A 17,043-nucleotide genomic window follows, 5' to 3' on the forward strand; every position below is an offset into this window, starting at 1 on the left:
GGCTGCAGCATATAAATAGAATTGAATTCCATAGTTTTGTTAACCCTGTTTTTTGTTTGTTTGTAGTTGTTGCTGTTTTTGAGACAGAGTCTCGCTCTGTCGCCTAGGCTGGAGTGCAGTGGTGCAATCTCGGCTCACTGCAGACTCTGCCTCCCGGGTTCAAACTATTCTCCTGCCTCAGCCTCCCAAGTAGGTGGGACTAAGGCGCCCACCACCACACCCGGCTAATTTTTGTATTTTATTAGAGACAGGGTTTCACCATATTGGCCAGGCTGGTCTGGAACTCCTGACCTTGTGATCCGCCCACCTCGGCCTCCCAAAGTGCTGGGATTACAGGCGTGAGCCACCACACCCAGCCCCTGTTTTGTTTTTGTTTTGCTTGTTTCTTAGGGTTGTTTTTCTATTTATGGTAAAGGCATTGGCTTTCCATTTGTAGCATCAATAGAATATTTCCTGTTTACAATAACCTTATGTCATAGTAAATGGTAAAGGGATTTAAAGCAGTGGTTTTCAGCTGCCAGAGGCCTGAGTGAGTTTGGGCACACTCTGTGTGATCAGGCAGAAGGCCTGTGGGAAGTTTAGCTGAGGACAGGGTCAGGAAAGGTGATGGACAGTGGGGGTCTGTCCTGGTCACCAGACCCCTGGGTCCTGCCCACCTGCTTGGAGCTCCCCACCCATCACACATGATGCTGCCAAGCCCTCTGGGTATTGTGGGCAAATACCTTAGGAGAGAAGCTGATGAACTTTGTTTCTTGAAATGCACAGATTCCTTGGACATCCCTGAGAGGTCAGTCATGAAGGTCAACTTGGTTTTCTCCCCCTCATTTGGGTTCAGAATTTAAAGTCCACACACACAGGCAGTAAGATGATATAGATAAGGACATCATCACTCGGTTTCGGATGTTAAAATGTCTAGGTGGGTTAGGGGTGATTTGAGATCACACAACCTTGTGCCACAAAGAGGAATTCCCAGGTCAGAGGGAGACATTTTATTGCCATGTTATGATCTTATCATTGAGTTGAAAGGCAATCTTGTTTCATTTTGGATTCTTTCTTATGTTTATGTCTTATAAGGGCACTTTGAATTTCCAAGCAAATAATAATTTTGAATTGGCTTTTAATCATTGACTTCTAGCACAGTTATATGATCAGAAACGTGCTGTGTGATTTGATTGCTCTCAAATATATTGAGATTTGCTGGAACAAAATAAGTCAGGTTAATTTTTGTAAATGTACCATGCATGCTTAAAATGAATGTATCTACATTTGTTCCTGAGATACAGGTTGATGGACGGATGGCTACATGGATGTGATGGAGATGGTTTACTATCAGGACCTTCCGCATCCTGCTGATGTTTTGTTGCTTAGGATATGAATGGCTGAGCGGAGGCTGTAAAACCTGGCACTCTGCTTGGGTATGAGGTTCTTCCTGCCATCCTGCCATCATTTGTTTTTTATGTTTTGTCGCCAAAAGTGACCTTGAGGAACCCTGGGAGCTCAGGAAGGAAGGAGCGCCCAGAAGCAGGGACAGGGAGCTGGTTGGGGAGGACCAGAAATCAGGTTTGTGAAGGTTCCAGAGAGGACCTGTCCTTGCGAGGAGTGTGGGAGACTGAGATGGGGGAGGGGTCATTGGAATGATGCGGGCGCTACTTGGCATTGTCCATTGTGAGGCACCACCGGGGTCATCAGGGATTGGTGGAGAGGGAGTATAAAGCCCCAGGTTTGCTAAGGGAGGGCCCAGACCGAAGAAGGTTTGGCGGATAGCAGAACCTTTTTGTCTCCCTCTGATTGCTCCTAAGCCTCACGCTCCCTTGCCCCGCGTGTCCTGTTGCTTCCCTGATCTTCTCCGTGACCTGTAGCTAAACCTTCCACCAGCGCTTGAGAACTTAATTTGAACCGGATCCTTTCCCAGACCCCTTTCTTCTTCTCCTCCTCCTCCTCCACCTCCTCCAGGTGCCCAACAGCCCCCTTCTCCTTTCCCTTCCCCTCCCCCTCCCCTTCCCCTCCCCCTCCCCTTCCCCTCCCCTTCCCCTCCCCCTCCCCTTCCCCTCCCCCTCCCCTGCCCCTCCCCAACTCAGATCCGCCCCGGTCCCCGTCCCCTTCCCTCCCCCCTGCCCTAAGCCACCTCCACCTCTGTCCTGGCCGCCTCAGGGCGCCCTGAAAGGACCAGGACATGCGGCTGCGCTTTTGGCTCCTCATTTGGCTCCTGCTGGGATTTATCAGCCATCAGCCCACCCCTGTGAGTAGACGCTGGACCCGCGGGGTTTCTTCCTTTTTACTGGGCTGTGTCACGCGGCATGAAATTACACAGCTCAGGCCTGTAATCCCAGCACTTTAGGGGGCCGAGGTGGGCAGATCACTTGAGTCCAGGAGTTGAAGACTAGCCAGGGCATCATGGCGAAACCCCATCTCTACAAAAAATTCCAAAAAAGATTAGTCGGGCCTGGTGGTGCGTACCTGTTATCCCAGTTACTGGAGAGGCTGAGGTGGGAGGATCGCTTGGGCCCAGGAGCTGGACGTTGCAGTGAGCTGAGATGGCCCCGCTGCACTCTTGTCTCTAACAAACAAAATGGACCAAAACAAAGTGAAATGTCATTTGATTTGTGTCATCTGGTTTGATGACTTTTTTTTTTTTTTTTTTTTAGACAGAGTCTCACTCTGTCGCCCAGGCTGGAGTGCAGTGGCAAGATCTCGGCTCACTGCAACCTCCGCTTCCGGGGTTCAAGCAATTGTCCTGCCTCAGCCTCCTGAGTAGCTCAGATTACAACGCCTGGCTAATTTTTGTGTTTTTAGTAGAGACGGGGTTTCACCATGTTCGCCAGGATAGTCTCCATCTCTTGACCTCGTGATCTGCCTGCCTCGGCCTCCCAGTGCTGGGATTACAGGCGTGAGCCACCGCGCCTGGCCAAAATATATAACCTTAAGTGTAAGTTTACTAACTTTGGAAAGTACATACACCAGCATAAACCGACCCCCTTTCAAGATCTACATTATTTTATTTATTTATTTATTTATTTATTTTGAGACAGTTTCTCCCTTGTTGCCCAGGCTGGAGTGCAATGGGGCAATATCAGCTCACCGCAACCTCTGCTTCCCAGGTTTGAGCGATTCTCCTGCCTCAGCCTCCCGGGTGGCTGGGATTACAGACATGTGCCACCACTCCCAGCTAATTTTGTATTTTTAGTAGAGATAGGGTTTCTCCATGTTGGTCAGGCTGGTTTTGAACTCCCGACCTCAGGTGATCCGCCCGCCTCGGCCTCCCAAAGCGTTGGGATTACAGGCGTGAACCACCGTGCCCAGCCAAGATCTACACTATTATGTCACCCCAGAAAGTGAACTCTCACTCTTCCCAGCCAGTCTCTTTCTTATCATAGGTTAGCTTGCTTATTCTGGAATTTTGCGTATACAGATGCATGCCATGCCATAGGTACTCTTTTGTGTCTGCTTTGTTCTGCTCAACACCATGTTTCTGAAATCATTACCATTGTTGTATGGTTCTCTAACTCCATCATTTCCATTTCAGACTCAGCATATGCTGAGTTCAACCTGTTGAAGGGCTATCTCTGTTTAATTCACCATCTTGAAAGAAACATTTAAAATTGAGATGTTTTCAAGAATATATAGTTAAATCCTGAGGAATCGACGTAGAAATGTTATCACAAGCTGTCTGAACTTACTCAGGGGAAGTCTTCGTCTTCACTCACATAAGAGTCTAATGGAATTAATATCAACAATCTTAGAGAAATCCCACACTATTCATGCCATTTTCATGATCTCCACCTTGGTAATTTTTTTTTTTTTTTTTTTTTTTTTTGAGACAGAGTCTCGCTCTGTCACCCAGGCTGAAGTGCAGTGGTGCGATCTCGGCTCACTGCAACCTCTGCCTCCCGGGTTCAAGTGATTCTTCTGCCTCAGCCTCCCAAGTAGCTGGAACTATAGGCACGTGCCACCATGCCCTGCTAATTTTTTGTAATTTTAGTAGAGATGGGTTTCACCGTGTTAGCTAGGATGGTCTCAATCTCCTGATCTCGTGGTCCACCCACCTCGGCTTCCCAAAGTGCTGAGATTGCAGGCGTGAGCCACCACACCCGGCCCACCTTGTTAATTTTTAAGCACTAAAATTTGATACTTATTTGTGAATGAAGTAATCTCTTCATTGTATTTTTTTTTTTTTACTTATGCTGAGCTTCAAATGACAAAGATTCATATAATCCAAGAGAGAAGTATTATTTAGAGGGATTCTTTTACCATGTGATATATAATAAATGCATCCAATGTTATACATCAATTTAAAAAACAAGTAAATAACTTTAAAGAAAAGATAACTACTGGCCAGGTGCAGTGGCTCACACCTGTATTCCCAGCACTTTGGGAGGCCGAGGCAGGTGGATCAAGAGGTCACGAGTTGGAGACCAGCCTGGCCAAGATGGTGAAACCCTGTTTCTACTCAAAATACAAAAATTAGCCGAGTGCGGTGGCAGGCGCCTGTAATCCCAGTTACTCAGTAGCTGAGGCAGGAGAATCGCTTGAACCCGGGAGGCGGAGGTTGCAGTGAGCTGAGATCATGCCACTGCAATCTAGCCTGGGTGACAGAGCAAGACTTTGTCTCCAAACAAAAAGAAAAGATAATTACTTTATACTTAGCTTGTCTTAGCCATGAGTGACGGGCTGCATGTGGCCCAGGACAGTTTTGAATGCAGTTCAACACAAATTTGTAAACTTTCTTAAAACATTAGGAGATTTTGGCCAGGTACAGTGGCTCATGCGTGTAATCCCAGCACTTTGGGAGGCTGAGGCGGGCAGATTACCTGAGGTCAGGAGTTCGAGACCACCCTGGCCAACATGGCAAAACCCCATCTCCACAAAAAATACAAAAATTTGCTGAGTGCATTGTCAGGCACCTGTACTCCCAGCTACTCAGGAGGCTGAGGCAGGAGAATCACTTGAACCTGAGAGTCAGAGGTTGCAGTGAGCCGAGAGCACGCCACTGCACTCCAGCCTGGGTGACAGAGTGAGACCCCATCTCAAAAACAAAACACCAAACAAAAACAAAAACAAAAAAAAATGGCTGGGCACGGTGGCTCACACCTGTAATCCCAGCACTTTGGGAGGCCGAGGCAGGCAGATCGCCTGCCAGGAGTTCAAGGCCAGACTGGCCAACATGGTGAAACCTCATCTCTACTAAAAATACAAAAATGAGTCGGGCATGGTGGCAGAGACCTGTAATCTCAGCTACTCGGGAGGCTGAGGGAGGAGAATGGCTTGAGCCCAGGAGCTGGAGGTTGCAGTGAGCCGAGATTGCACCACTGCACTCCAGCCTGGGCGACTGAGTGGAGCGGAACTCTGTCTCCAAAAAAAAAAAAAAAAAGAGTTTTTTTTTAGATCATCAGCTATTGTTAGTGTTAGTGTATGTTATGTGTGGCTCAAGACAACTTTGTTTCTTTTAATATAGGCAGGGAAGTGAAAAGATTGGATATCCCTGCTTTATACCAAGAAAGACAACACCCCACATTTGCAATGCCTAAAAACACTACCAGCCATCTGAAAAACATGAGACTTCTAACTTCTGTTCTTTTTTGTAGCAGTGGAATCCCACGGTGATATCTGAGGGATGTGGTTACCTTTTGGAGGAGGTTGACGGTTTCTAAGGATGATTCTTTCTGAGTGAAATATTGTCGGTGTCATTGACCTTTTCATTATTTCAACTATTATTATTCCAGGTTATCAATAGTCTGGCTGTCTATCGTCATCGTGAGACTGACTTTGGTGTAGGAGTTCGAGACCACCCTGGCCAACATGGCAAAACCCCATCTCCACAAAAATTGGATAATTTGATAATTATCATTATTGGGTTTCTGAGACGTTACACATTTAACATTCTCTTCTGCACAAGTTGCCTTTGTGTGAGTATACTAACTTTCTGTAGAGGTATACTTGTAATCACAAATAAGAATAAATTATATAAAACAATTCACGTTTCTGGACTTCATTATGAATATGTGGTTTTACCCAAAAAATCAGGGAAATGATTTATTAGCATAAGAATTATGAAAATGTCTGCCATTTACATTATGAAAATTAAATAGGTCGGTGTTTGTTTAATAGAATGTCAACAGAGCTTTTGGTCAAAAATAAGTTTTTTTAGCCTTTGTGCTATTTATCACAAATGGAGTATGAGGTTTCGTCACTTAAATAGGAAATTCTTTCTAAACTCTTCTGCTTTATAGTTCTATCGTATGGGTGGAAGGAAAGCTTCCAATCTCCTCTCTGAAGATTCACTGCAGAAATGAGCTGACAACAGACAGCTTAACAGGAAAAGGAAAACATAGAACAGGCATAAACATGGGAACCAGCTGAAAAATGAGACTGCTAGAAGGGCCGGATGGTTGATGCTTAAAGAGCACCCTCTTCTGAGGGGAGAGGGAGATAGATGGAGATGTAGGCCATTTAGAGGGGCAGCAAATGATTTTTAGGGGAAATGAAAGAGGCCAAGGAACAAACAATTGGCCTGAGACAAAGTTCCTCTGAGGTCATAGGGACGAGGTGACAAACTGCCGGAAGGTGAAGGGCAGAACTGCACTGCGTCTCATGATGCAGAGAAAGCCCCAGAGAATCTCTTAGAACTGCCCTCCAAGAGAATCAATGAAAAGTGTGTCTGGGCAGGGTAATTTTGAATGACATCATTCAAAGTGCATGTTCCCACTTGCAACTGGAGAGAGATCAGTATGTCAAAAGTCTGTACTTGGTAAGAATTTGGCTGCTAAGTTGTGCCATAATTTGTCTTTTGAGCCTTTTTTCCTTTGGGTAAGTTGAGCTCTACATTTTGTCTTGCCATTCATGACAGTAAAAATGTGGTTTTCTGGGGGCTGAACCTCCTGAACAATGATCCAAGATAAAAGTACTAATACCACAATGCTTTTTTATATTCAAGGGAAGAGGAAGTATGTTTCAGTTTTACCACCTAGATAATTACACGTCATTTGGCACTGCCTTTCAAGATATGTAGAAAACAGAAAATATATGAGTTATGAAGATATCTAGGCACACTTAACATTCTCTATGCCACTTAGTCCTGAACAGAGAATTTTCGGTATAAATTGGAGGAAGCTTTTTTTTTTTTTTTCTTTTCTCACCCCCGAGACGAGTCTCCCTCTGTTGCCCAGGCTGGAGTATAATGGTGTGATCTCGGCTCACTGCAACCTCCACCTCCTGGCTTCAAGTGATTCCCCTGCCTCAGCCTCTCAAGTAGCTGGGATTACAGGTGCCCACCACCATGCCCAGCAAATTTTTGTATTTTTAGTAGAGTCGGGGTTTTACCATGTTGGCCAGGCTAGTCTCAAAACCCGACCTCAAATGATCCACCCGCCTCAGCCTCCCAAAGTGCTGGGATTACAAGCGTGAGCCACCACGTGAGCCAGGGGAAGTTTTTAAATTTACCACTTTTTAACAGTTCCATTTAGGAAAGTTCAGTTGAGCTGCTGGACTTGGACAACTTCGCACCTCTCATCTTTGTCCTTGTCATCTAGTCATCTATACCATTACCTCCTAAGCAGGGACATCATGGGTGCCATGAAGCATTCATGCGTGATGGCATTTCTTTGCTTGTCATTTCTTCATGTGTTTGACATTTCTCCTAGCTCCAAACTGGGCCAGCTACCTTTCCTATGAAATCTAGTAGTAGCTGTGGGATTGACGTGGTTGCTCTTTTCATCTTTTTAGATTACCCATTGCTTCTCTCGAAATCCTAGTACATGATTTTTTTTTTATCCTATGTGCAGAAATCAGGAAAAAACAAATTCTACAAAGAATTTGAAAGATATTATTTCAGGCCAGGTGTGGTGGCTCATGCCTGTAATCCCAGCACTTTGGGAGGCTGAGGCAGGTGGATGACTTGAGGTCAGGAGTTCAAGACCAGATGGGCCAACATGGTGAAACCCCATCTCTACTAAAAAGACAAAAATTAGCCAGGCATGGTAGCAGGCACCTGTAATCCCAGCTACTTGGGAGGCCGAGGCACAAGAATCGCTTGAATCTGGGAGGTGGAGGTTGCCGTGAGCCAAGGTAGTGCCACTGCACTTCAGCATGGTTGAGAGTGACACTCCATCTCAAGAAAAAAGTCATTTCAATGACTACCTCAGGAGATTCATAGGTATCTGACCCACATCTGAGATGGGATTTGCATTGCATTTTCGCTATGATGAGAACAAATATTTAATATCTTAGAAGATTAAAAGCATACTGTGATAATATGGAAATCTTGGTGGGAATTCAGTCATTAGTGAGAATGTTTTGCGTTAAGTTCAAACCAGCCTCAATGAAGCTGATGTGAGGGAAGGGAAAGTGAACTCTGAGTAGAGCAGGGACAGAAGGAAGATGCTCCAGTGCAGATCAGGAAGGAGCAGGGGGTGAAATGTTACAAATTCTAGAACTCAGAGAGCTGAAGGTAATTACTTCCTTTTCAAGTTGTGAAACATGTTAACCTGTGGGAAAATACTTATAAGATGATAATTACCATCTAACCGTGTTGAAGTGTACAGTTCAGTTGTGTGAAGTATATTCATGTCATTTTTTTTTTTTTTTTTGAGACGGAGTCTCACTCTGTCACCAGGCTGGAGTGCAGTGGTGGGATCTTGGCTCACTGCAACCTCTGCCTCCTGGGTTCAAGCAGTTCTCCTGCCTCAGCCTCCCGAGTAGCTGGGACTACAGGCGTGCATCACCATGCTCAGCTAATTTTTGTATTTTTAGTAGAGACGGGGTTTCACCATGTTGCCCAGGATGGTCTCCATCTCTTGACCTTGTGATTCACCCGCCTCAGCCTCCCAAAGTGCTGGGATTACAGGCGTGAGCTACCGCACTTGGGCTATTTTTTTTTTTTTTTTTTTTTTTTTTTTTTTTTGAGACAGAGTTTCAATTTTGTTGCCCAGGTTTGGAGTGCAATGGCACAATCTCAGCTCACCACAACCTTTTCCTGCTGGGTTCAAGTGATTCTCCTGCCTCAGCCTCCTGACTAGCTGGGACTACAGGCATGCACCACCATGCCTGGCTAATTTTGTATTTTTAGCAGAGACAGCGTTTCTCCATGTTGGTGAGGCTGGTCTCAAACTCCCGACCTCAGGTGATCCGCCTGCCTCGGCCTCCCAAAGTGCTGGGATTACAGGAGTGAGCCACCGTGCCAGCCTCATGTCATTCTCGTGTGTGTGTGTGTGTGTGTGTGTGTGTGTGACAGAGTCTCATTCTGTCGCTCAGGCTGGAGTACAGTGGTGTGATCTCGGCTCACTGCAACCTCCGCCTCCCAGCTTCAAATGGTTCTCTGCCTCAGCCTCCCGAGTAGCTTGGATTACAGGCGCCCGCTGCCATGCCTGGCTAATTTTTGTATTTTTAGTAGAGACAGGGTTTCACCATCTTGGCCAGGCTGGTCTTGAACTCCTGACCCCGTGATCCACCTGCCTCAGCCTCCCAAAGTACTGGGATTATTTATACGCATGAGCCACCGTGCCCAGCCGTCATTCTTATATTATTATTTCCTAGGTGTCTCTCCTGAAGACTATCTTCTGGTCTCGAAATGGACATGATGGATCCACGGATGTACAGCAGAGAGCCTGGAGGTCCAACCGCAGTAGACAGAAAGGTATGGCTCTGTTGGAGTCCCCATAGTGTGGAAATGAGTTTGCCCTGGAAAGGGAAAGAACAGCTTCTTGACCTCAGGTTTCTCACCTTCTCCTCTCCTCACTCTCACCAAGGGCTGAGGTCCATTTGTATGCACACAAAGAAAAGAGTTTCTTCCTTTCGAGGAAATAAAATTGGCCTGAAAGACGTCATTACTCTACGGAGGCATGTGGAAACAAAAGTTAGAGCTAAAATCCGTAAGAGGAAGGTGACAACGAAAATCAACCGTCATGACAAAATCAATGGAAAGAGGAAGACCGCCAGAAAACAGTAAGATGTGCCTTGACACAAATACTGTTGTATGAACCATGTGCCAATCAAAGTAGACAACTGTAAAGTCCTTGAGAATATTTTCTACAATATTTGTGGCAAATTCAGTGGGCTCAAAATTGAGTTTGTCCTTTCTGCTTCATTAGTTTAAGCTGTATAATTCCTTTCCCTTCCTACATTCTTGTTTGTAATTTTTTCGGGGGAAGAGGAGTTGCTAGTACTGGCATTGGTTTTCCTTTCTCTCTCTTTTTTTTTTTTTCCTGAGATGGAGCTTTGCTGTTGTTGCCCAGGCTGTAGTGCAATGGCACAATCTCAGCTCACTGCCTTTTGGCTTCAAGCAATTCTCCTGCCTCAGCCTCCCAAGTAGCTGGGATTACAGGTGCCCACCACCACGCCCAGCTAATTTTTGTATTTTTACTAGAGATGGGGTTTCACCATGTTGTCCAGGCTGGTCTCGAACTTCTGACCTCAGGTAATCCACCTGCCTCAGCCTCCCAAAGTGCTGGGATTAGAGGTGTGAGCCACCACACCCAGCCTTTTTTTTTTTTTTTTTTTAATTTTGAGATAGAATCTCGCTCTGTCGCCCAGGCTGGAGTGCTATGGTGCAATCTTGGCTCACTGCAACCTCTGCCTCCCAGTTTGAAGCAATTCTGCCTCAGCTTCCTGAGTAGCTTGGATTACAGGTGTGTGCCACCACATTCGGCCAATTTTTTTTTTTTTTTTTGAGACAGAGTCTCACTCTGTCACCCAGGCTAGAGTGCAGTGGCATGATCTTGGCTCACTGCAACCTCCGCCTCCCAGGTTCAAGCGATTCTTATCCCTCAGCCTCTTGAGTAGCTGGGACTACAGGCATATGCCACCATGCCCGGATAATTTTTGTATTCTTAGTAGAGGCGGGGTTTCACCATATTGGCCAAGCTGGTCTAGAACTCTGGACATCATGATCCACACACCTCGGCCTCCCAATGTGCTGGGATTACAGGCGTGAGCCACCGTGCCCGGCCCAATTTTTGTATTTTTAGTAGAGACAGGGGTTCACCATGTTGGCCAGGCTAGTCTTGAACTCCTGACCTCAGGTGATCTGCCTACCTCAGCCTCCCAGTGTGAGCCACCGCACCCAGCCTGGATTGTTGAATTCAATGCTTGGGTCACCTCCAGATTCATTTTCACAGTCTTTCATGTTTTGGTCATATTACATTGTATTTTGCTGCCATATGACTGATCTCTTTTTGTTAAATGTGAGATACTTGTTAAAAAATATTTAGCAATGAATTGAGGCCTAGTGGCATGTTATCTTGCTGCAGAAGAGATGGGAGTCTACTTCTGGGGGATGGTCACGGGTCCTCCATACAGGCTGCAATTGAGGTCGTCGGTGCAGGCTCAGTCCCTACAAAGGCCAGGGTATTTCCTGTCCACCTCTATTCTGATGCATGACTCTTCTGGGTCTCAACCAGAGCCAGTGGACTTCAGTACGGGTCGCTTTCATTGGCAGACCCTCAATCCACTTGTTTTCCATCTAATCCCACGCATGTGTGCAAAAGCTGCTGTGCTTCTTTGCATCTCAGTAGTTCCTTCTGGAATTCAGCAATGAAACTCAGGGAAATGGGTTCCAAATGCGAGGCTGACTTTCGTCCTGGGTTTCCTTCTTCTCCATCTTCACCTCATGTCTGTTTACTGCCATGTTAGCAATTTGATGTATTCAATCATGGGTTTTATATTCTGTTTGGTGTCCCCCATTGTTCTCATCGGAGATCAGAAGCTTCAGATGCACTTATGTCAACTCAAGAGTAGAATGCTTCCTTAGCTTCCCTCCAGAGTCAGGTTTTGTGTTTCTAGTTCCCAAGTGCACAGCAGGAGTAGTGATGTCCTCACTGGCTTCTCATTTGCATTAAACTGTGAGCTTCTTTAGCATGGGGACAGGACCCTGCTCCCATTGCATTCTCAGCACCACACCACACACTCCTTGTTGGAGGCCACTCCAGACAGCATGTGCTGAAGGATGCCCTGTGGTCAGAAACAAGTTCATTAACTTTCCCTTTGAAGTGTTTTCGCCCCTGTTTCCTAGCGTTCTGGGAATTTTACACATCCTTCCTATAAAACCAAGTATCAGGTGAGATCCTTAGGATCAGGACCATGAATCAAGTGGTGTGAGGGCAACACAGCAAACTTACCCTTTTTAGGCCATTTCCTTTTTCTGCCCTCAAACTCTGTGAACTGAACCTTGTTAAAGTCAGTCAACACCAGGGTGGATGGTTTGCCGTTGTCACCTATTTTCAGGACATAACACCCTGACTTAGGAGCCATTCTGATCATTTCTAATTCAATAGATGCGCCCAGCATTCAGATTGCCTTTTCTCTCAACCAGGATCTTTAAAGTCGATGACAAGAGTTCCAGTCCTGAATCATGGCAAAGTGCAGTAGTGAACGGCGGGGTTAATGACACCATATTCTGGAAGGATCTCTCTATGGCTGTTGGTCTCAGTTCTGGCATCAGCCTCTGACTGAGAAGCAGGTCTCACACAGGAAGAGTCAGATGAGGAGCAATCCTCTGCTTCCGATGGAGTTAGTTGTGATGAGTTGGTGAGGTCTGGTTTTTCACACTGAACTAAAATGATCTTTCGCTGTGTCAAGCACAAGACTGACCCCAGAGACACACATAGTGCACCTCATAGAAGCTTTTAATAGTCTCTATATTTACTAAAGAATAGGACTAACTATGGAACTATGAAGATGAGCTGGAAATGACAGGTGACTTGCCAGCAGGCCAGAGTGTGATTTTTTTTGGTCCCTCAATGGGAGGTGTCCATTCTCCCTTCGGTTGTGAGAATCAGTTGGTTCATTTGTGGGAAGGTTGCAGGGGGGATCTTTGAATCACAGCCTTCAGATGCCAGAAGGGCAGAGGGAATCCCACATGGACTGGTGGATCATGTGTGTGCATTTCTCTCCCTTCTAACCTGAGGAAACTAAGCATGAAAGAATGTGAGCACGCAGAAAAGGAGAGGCAGGTATCAGAGGCAGAGGAAAATGGGAAATTGGATATGAAAGAAATACACACCTACAAGTGAGTTCAGAAACTGAACCCCACCCTCCTGGGAAACGCCCATTGGAGTGTTGTTTTTAACCTCTGTACAATGTTTAGTCCCAGTAAATGCAGAAATAGAAACAAATGGTCAGAAGACATATCGTGAGAGAGAGAGAGAGTTCACAAAACAGAAAACAAAGTACCTTAATATTTACCAGTGACCAAAAGATGTGAAGTAGCAAAACGGCTCCTGACCCCATTGCCAGCTAGACCGTGTGGAAACTCGGTTCATACCAGCCATTCTAGGGGTGGGGTGAGTTGTTGTCATCCTTAGGAAAGTGTGTTGTTGTAGGATCAACCACATCCTTCAAAAGGACTATGCCTGTTTATAAGCCCAGCTGTTTCTGCCCTGTGAAACACGGTAAGGATATTAATACAAAGAGAATACAGCTTTATGATAAAAGATGCTCAATGAAGGATGAATTAGGGATATACTGAGAATGGGGAAGGAAACTATCATCTCAGAAGTCAGCAGGCAGTAAGCAAGAGGAGGAATCAATACAGCAACAGTTTGGATCAGACCGTACAGTTTTTTTGTTTTTGTTTTTGTTTTTGTTTTTGTTTTTCTGAGATGGAGTCTCGCTGTGTCACCCAGGCTGGAGTGCAATGACGTGATCTTGGCTCACTGCAACCTCCGCCTCCCAGGTTCAAGTGATTCCCCTGCCTCAGCCTCCCGAGTAGCTGGGATTACAGGTGCCTGCCACCACGCCCGGCTAATCTTTTGTATTTTTAGTAGAGACGGGGTTTCACCGTATTAGCCAGGATGGTCTCAATCTCCTGACCTCGTGATCCATCCGCCTCGCCCTCCCAGAGTGCTGGGACTACAGGCATCAGCCACCGTGACCGGCTCAGACTGTACTCTTATAGCCATCTGAAATACGTTTTCTAGGTAGAGATAGATTGTGTAAGGGTACAGTTGTGAGGATAACAGAAACATGGCAGATTATTTAAAATCATCCTGAACATGGTGCTTTATCTGATGAAAGTGATTGTAATCCATAGGAAAATGTTTCAACGTGCGCAAGAGTTGCGGCGGCGGGCAGAGGACTACCACAAATGCAAAGTAAGGAGCTTCCTCCCCGCAGTTGCAGGATAGTTCAGTGCTGATGCAGATGATGCCACGGCTCTTAGACTCTCTCAACATTCAATTTCTCATGTGTTGGCTTTTTCAGATCCCCCCTTCTGCAAGAAAGGCTCTTTGCAACTGGGTAAGTTTGTTTGTTTTCCTTGCTTTTGAACATAGTCTGCCAGGTCAGGACATGGATACATTTTTCTCCCTACAGCTCTGTGCTCAAGCCCTGCAGAGGGAGATGGCAGAGAGGAAGGCTGCCTACAGGCATCACAGTCCCATCCCTGTTGGTAACCGTGTTGTGCAAAAACACCTTCATCCCCACCCAGTGGGGCCCCTGATCTAATATTCAAAGTGTCAGAGGTTCCATATTTGTAATAGCAAATGGGCCCTGACTGTAAATTAGTGAAGAGTGAATGTAACTTATTACCCACAGGGACAATTCCAAATGAAGGCCTTAAATGATGCTCAGCTAAGCTGGTTCTTGTGTGGCCTCTGTACCTTCAAAAGCTGCCGAGTCCTATGATTACACGTGATGGGACTTGTGCACTTGAAGTGAAACACAGTTTTAAAACTTGCTTTGTTTAGAATTCCCACCTCATTTTTCCATGGACAAAAGTATTCTTTATGTCCTAGTGCACTTACAATTTGGTATTACCTGGGAGTGAAAAGAAATATTACAGCCATGCATGCCTAAGTGACTTCTTGAGGTGAGATTGTTCTGTCAGAAAACCCTCTCCCAGTTCCCCTGCAGCTCTTCAGGAATCCACATCTCTCCAGAGCTCTTTGTTCTCATGGGTGGCACCTCCAGAGTGAAGAAGATCCTTTGTCAAGAAGGGAAACAGAGGGGAAATGAGAGGGTCCTGCAGGCAGAGCTGGAATCAACTTCCACTCTGCCTCTTGCAAGCTGTGTGACCCTGGGCACAATTTCTCCTTCCTCTGGAAACCTCTGTTTTCTTAGATTTGGAGCAGGGTGGTCACACTGACCTTGCAGAGTTCTGAGAGTCAGAGACAGAACATAAAAGGCCTGGAAAACATTCTCCAAAAAGAAGCTGCAACATGTGTGGACAATGGGCTTTTCATGCCTCTCTTACTGTCTCTTACTGTCTGTTGACCTGGTGCAAGAAACATGCTCTGGTGATGGCTGTGAGGGAGGAATGAGGATAGACATAGACACTCCTGTGTCTCAAACATGCTTCTTTATTACTCTGTTATGACTCTGTCTTCCCTGGGGCAGGACCCCAGCCTGCCTACATTTGCAGACAGACACAGTGGCATGTGGAGACAACAGTGTGTCCCAATGACTTTTCTTTACCCCCCAGCTGTCGGCAGTACTCAGTGGAAGGGTGATATTATGACACTGATACTGCTATTTTGAAACCTGGAGGATGGAAAGGTGCAAAAATCTATCACCAGCAACAGAAGGTGCAGACTGTGTTGGTGGCGGTAATTTTGTCCATCAAATGAATATGTGTGAAAACATTCCCTCCTTTGGCCCTACAGGTCAGAATGGCGGCAGCGGAGCATCGTCATTCTTCAGGATTGCCCTACTGGCCCTACCTCACAGCTGAAACTTTAAAAAACAGGATGGGCCGCCAGCCACCTCCTCCAACTCAACAACATTCTATAACTGATAACTCCCTGAGCCTCAAGACACCTCCCGAGTGTCTGCTCACTCCCCTTCCACCCTCAGCGGATGATAATATCAAGGAGTGTCCTCTTGCTCCTCTTCCACCCTCTCCTCTTCCACCCTCAGTGGATGATAATCTGAAGGAATGTCTCTTTGTCCCGCTTCCACCCTCTCCTCTTCCACCCTCAGTGGATGATAATCTGAAGGAATGTCTCTTTGTCCCGCTTCCACCCTCTCCTCTTCCACCCTCAGTGGATGATAATCTCAAGACTCCTCCCTTAGCTACTCAGGAGGCCGAGGCGGAAAAACCACCCAAACCCAAGAGGTGGAGGGTGGATGAGGTGGAACAATCGCCCAAGCCCAAGAGGCAGAGGGAGGCCGAGGCACAACAATTACCCAAACCCAAGAGGCGGAGGTTGAGTAAGCTGAGAACACGCCATTGCACTCAAGCCTGGGCAATAAGAATAAATCCGTGGGTCGAAAAAAAGAAAAAAATCAAAAAACAAAACAAAACCCACGCTCCAAAAACAAACTAACGAAGAATAAATAAATAATATAAAAATAAAATAAATACTGCAGTCCTTATGTTATTGCTTTGTTTCAATATCTGGTATGATTGCCTGAGGGACCTGAGGTATTTAATTAATTGTAGGGTTTTTTTTTAAATCTTTAGAAGTGGTTGGTTATGTAAAATATTATTATTATTATTATTATTTTTTGAGACTGGGTTTTGCTCTGTCACCCAGGCTGGAGTGCAGTGGCTCGATCACAGCTCACTGCAGCCTCAACCTCCTGGGCTTCAAGCAATCCTCCTGCCTCAGCCTCCCAAGTAGCTGGGATCACAGATGTGTGCCACCACGCCTGGCCAATGTTAAAAAATCCTTTAACTTTTTTGTAGAGATGCACTCCTGGACTCAAGCGATCCTCCTACTGGTCCCGACCACCAGCCTCTTTCTGATAAACATTTACACTGTTTATTATCTGATGCCATTTCTATCTTCTTCCTTGTCGTCCAGACATCAAAGAATTAGGTTTCTTCAGGGTTTTCTTTTTCAAGTCCTCATTGTTAAAGATCACTCACATTAGGGCCAGACACCACGACTCATGCCTGTAATCCCAGCACTTTGGGAGGCCGAGGCGGGCAGAGCACTTGAGGTGGGGAGTTTGAGACCAGCCCGGCCAACTTGGTGAAACCCCACCTCTACTGAAAAACATACAAAAATTAGCTGGGCGTGATGGTGCATGCCTGTAGTCCCAGCCACTTGGGAGGCTGAGGCATGAGAATCGCTTGAACCCAGGAGGCAGAGGTTGTAGTGAGCCAAGATC

The 17,043-nt window shown here is 46.0% G+C and overlaps 1 pseudogene; it reads left to right on the forward strand.

Annotated features, from left to right (window-relative positions):
• On the forward strand, nucleotides 1,353–15,826 carry NPIPB10P (nuclear pore complex interacting protein family, member B10, pseudogene; annotated as a pseudogene).

Source organism: Homo sapiens, chromosome 16 (assembly GCF_000001405.40).
Source record: "Homo sapiens chromosome 16, GRCh38.p14 Primary Assembly".
Classification (NCBI taxonomy): domain Eukaryota; kingdom Metazoa; phylum Chordata; class Mammalia; order Primates; family Hominidae; genus Homo; species Homo sapiens.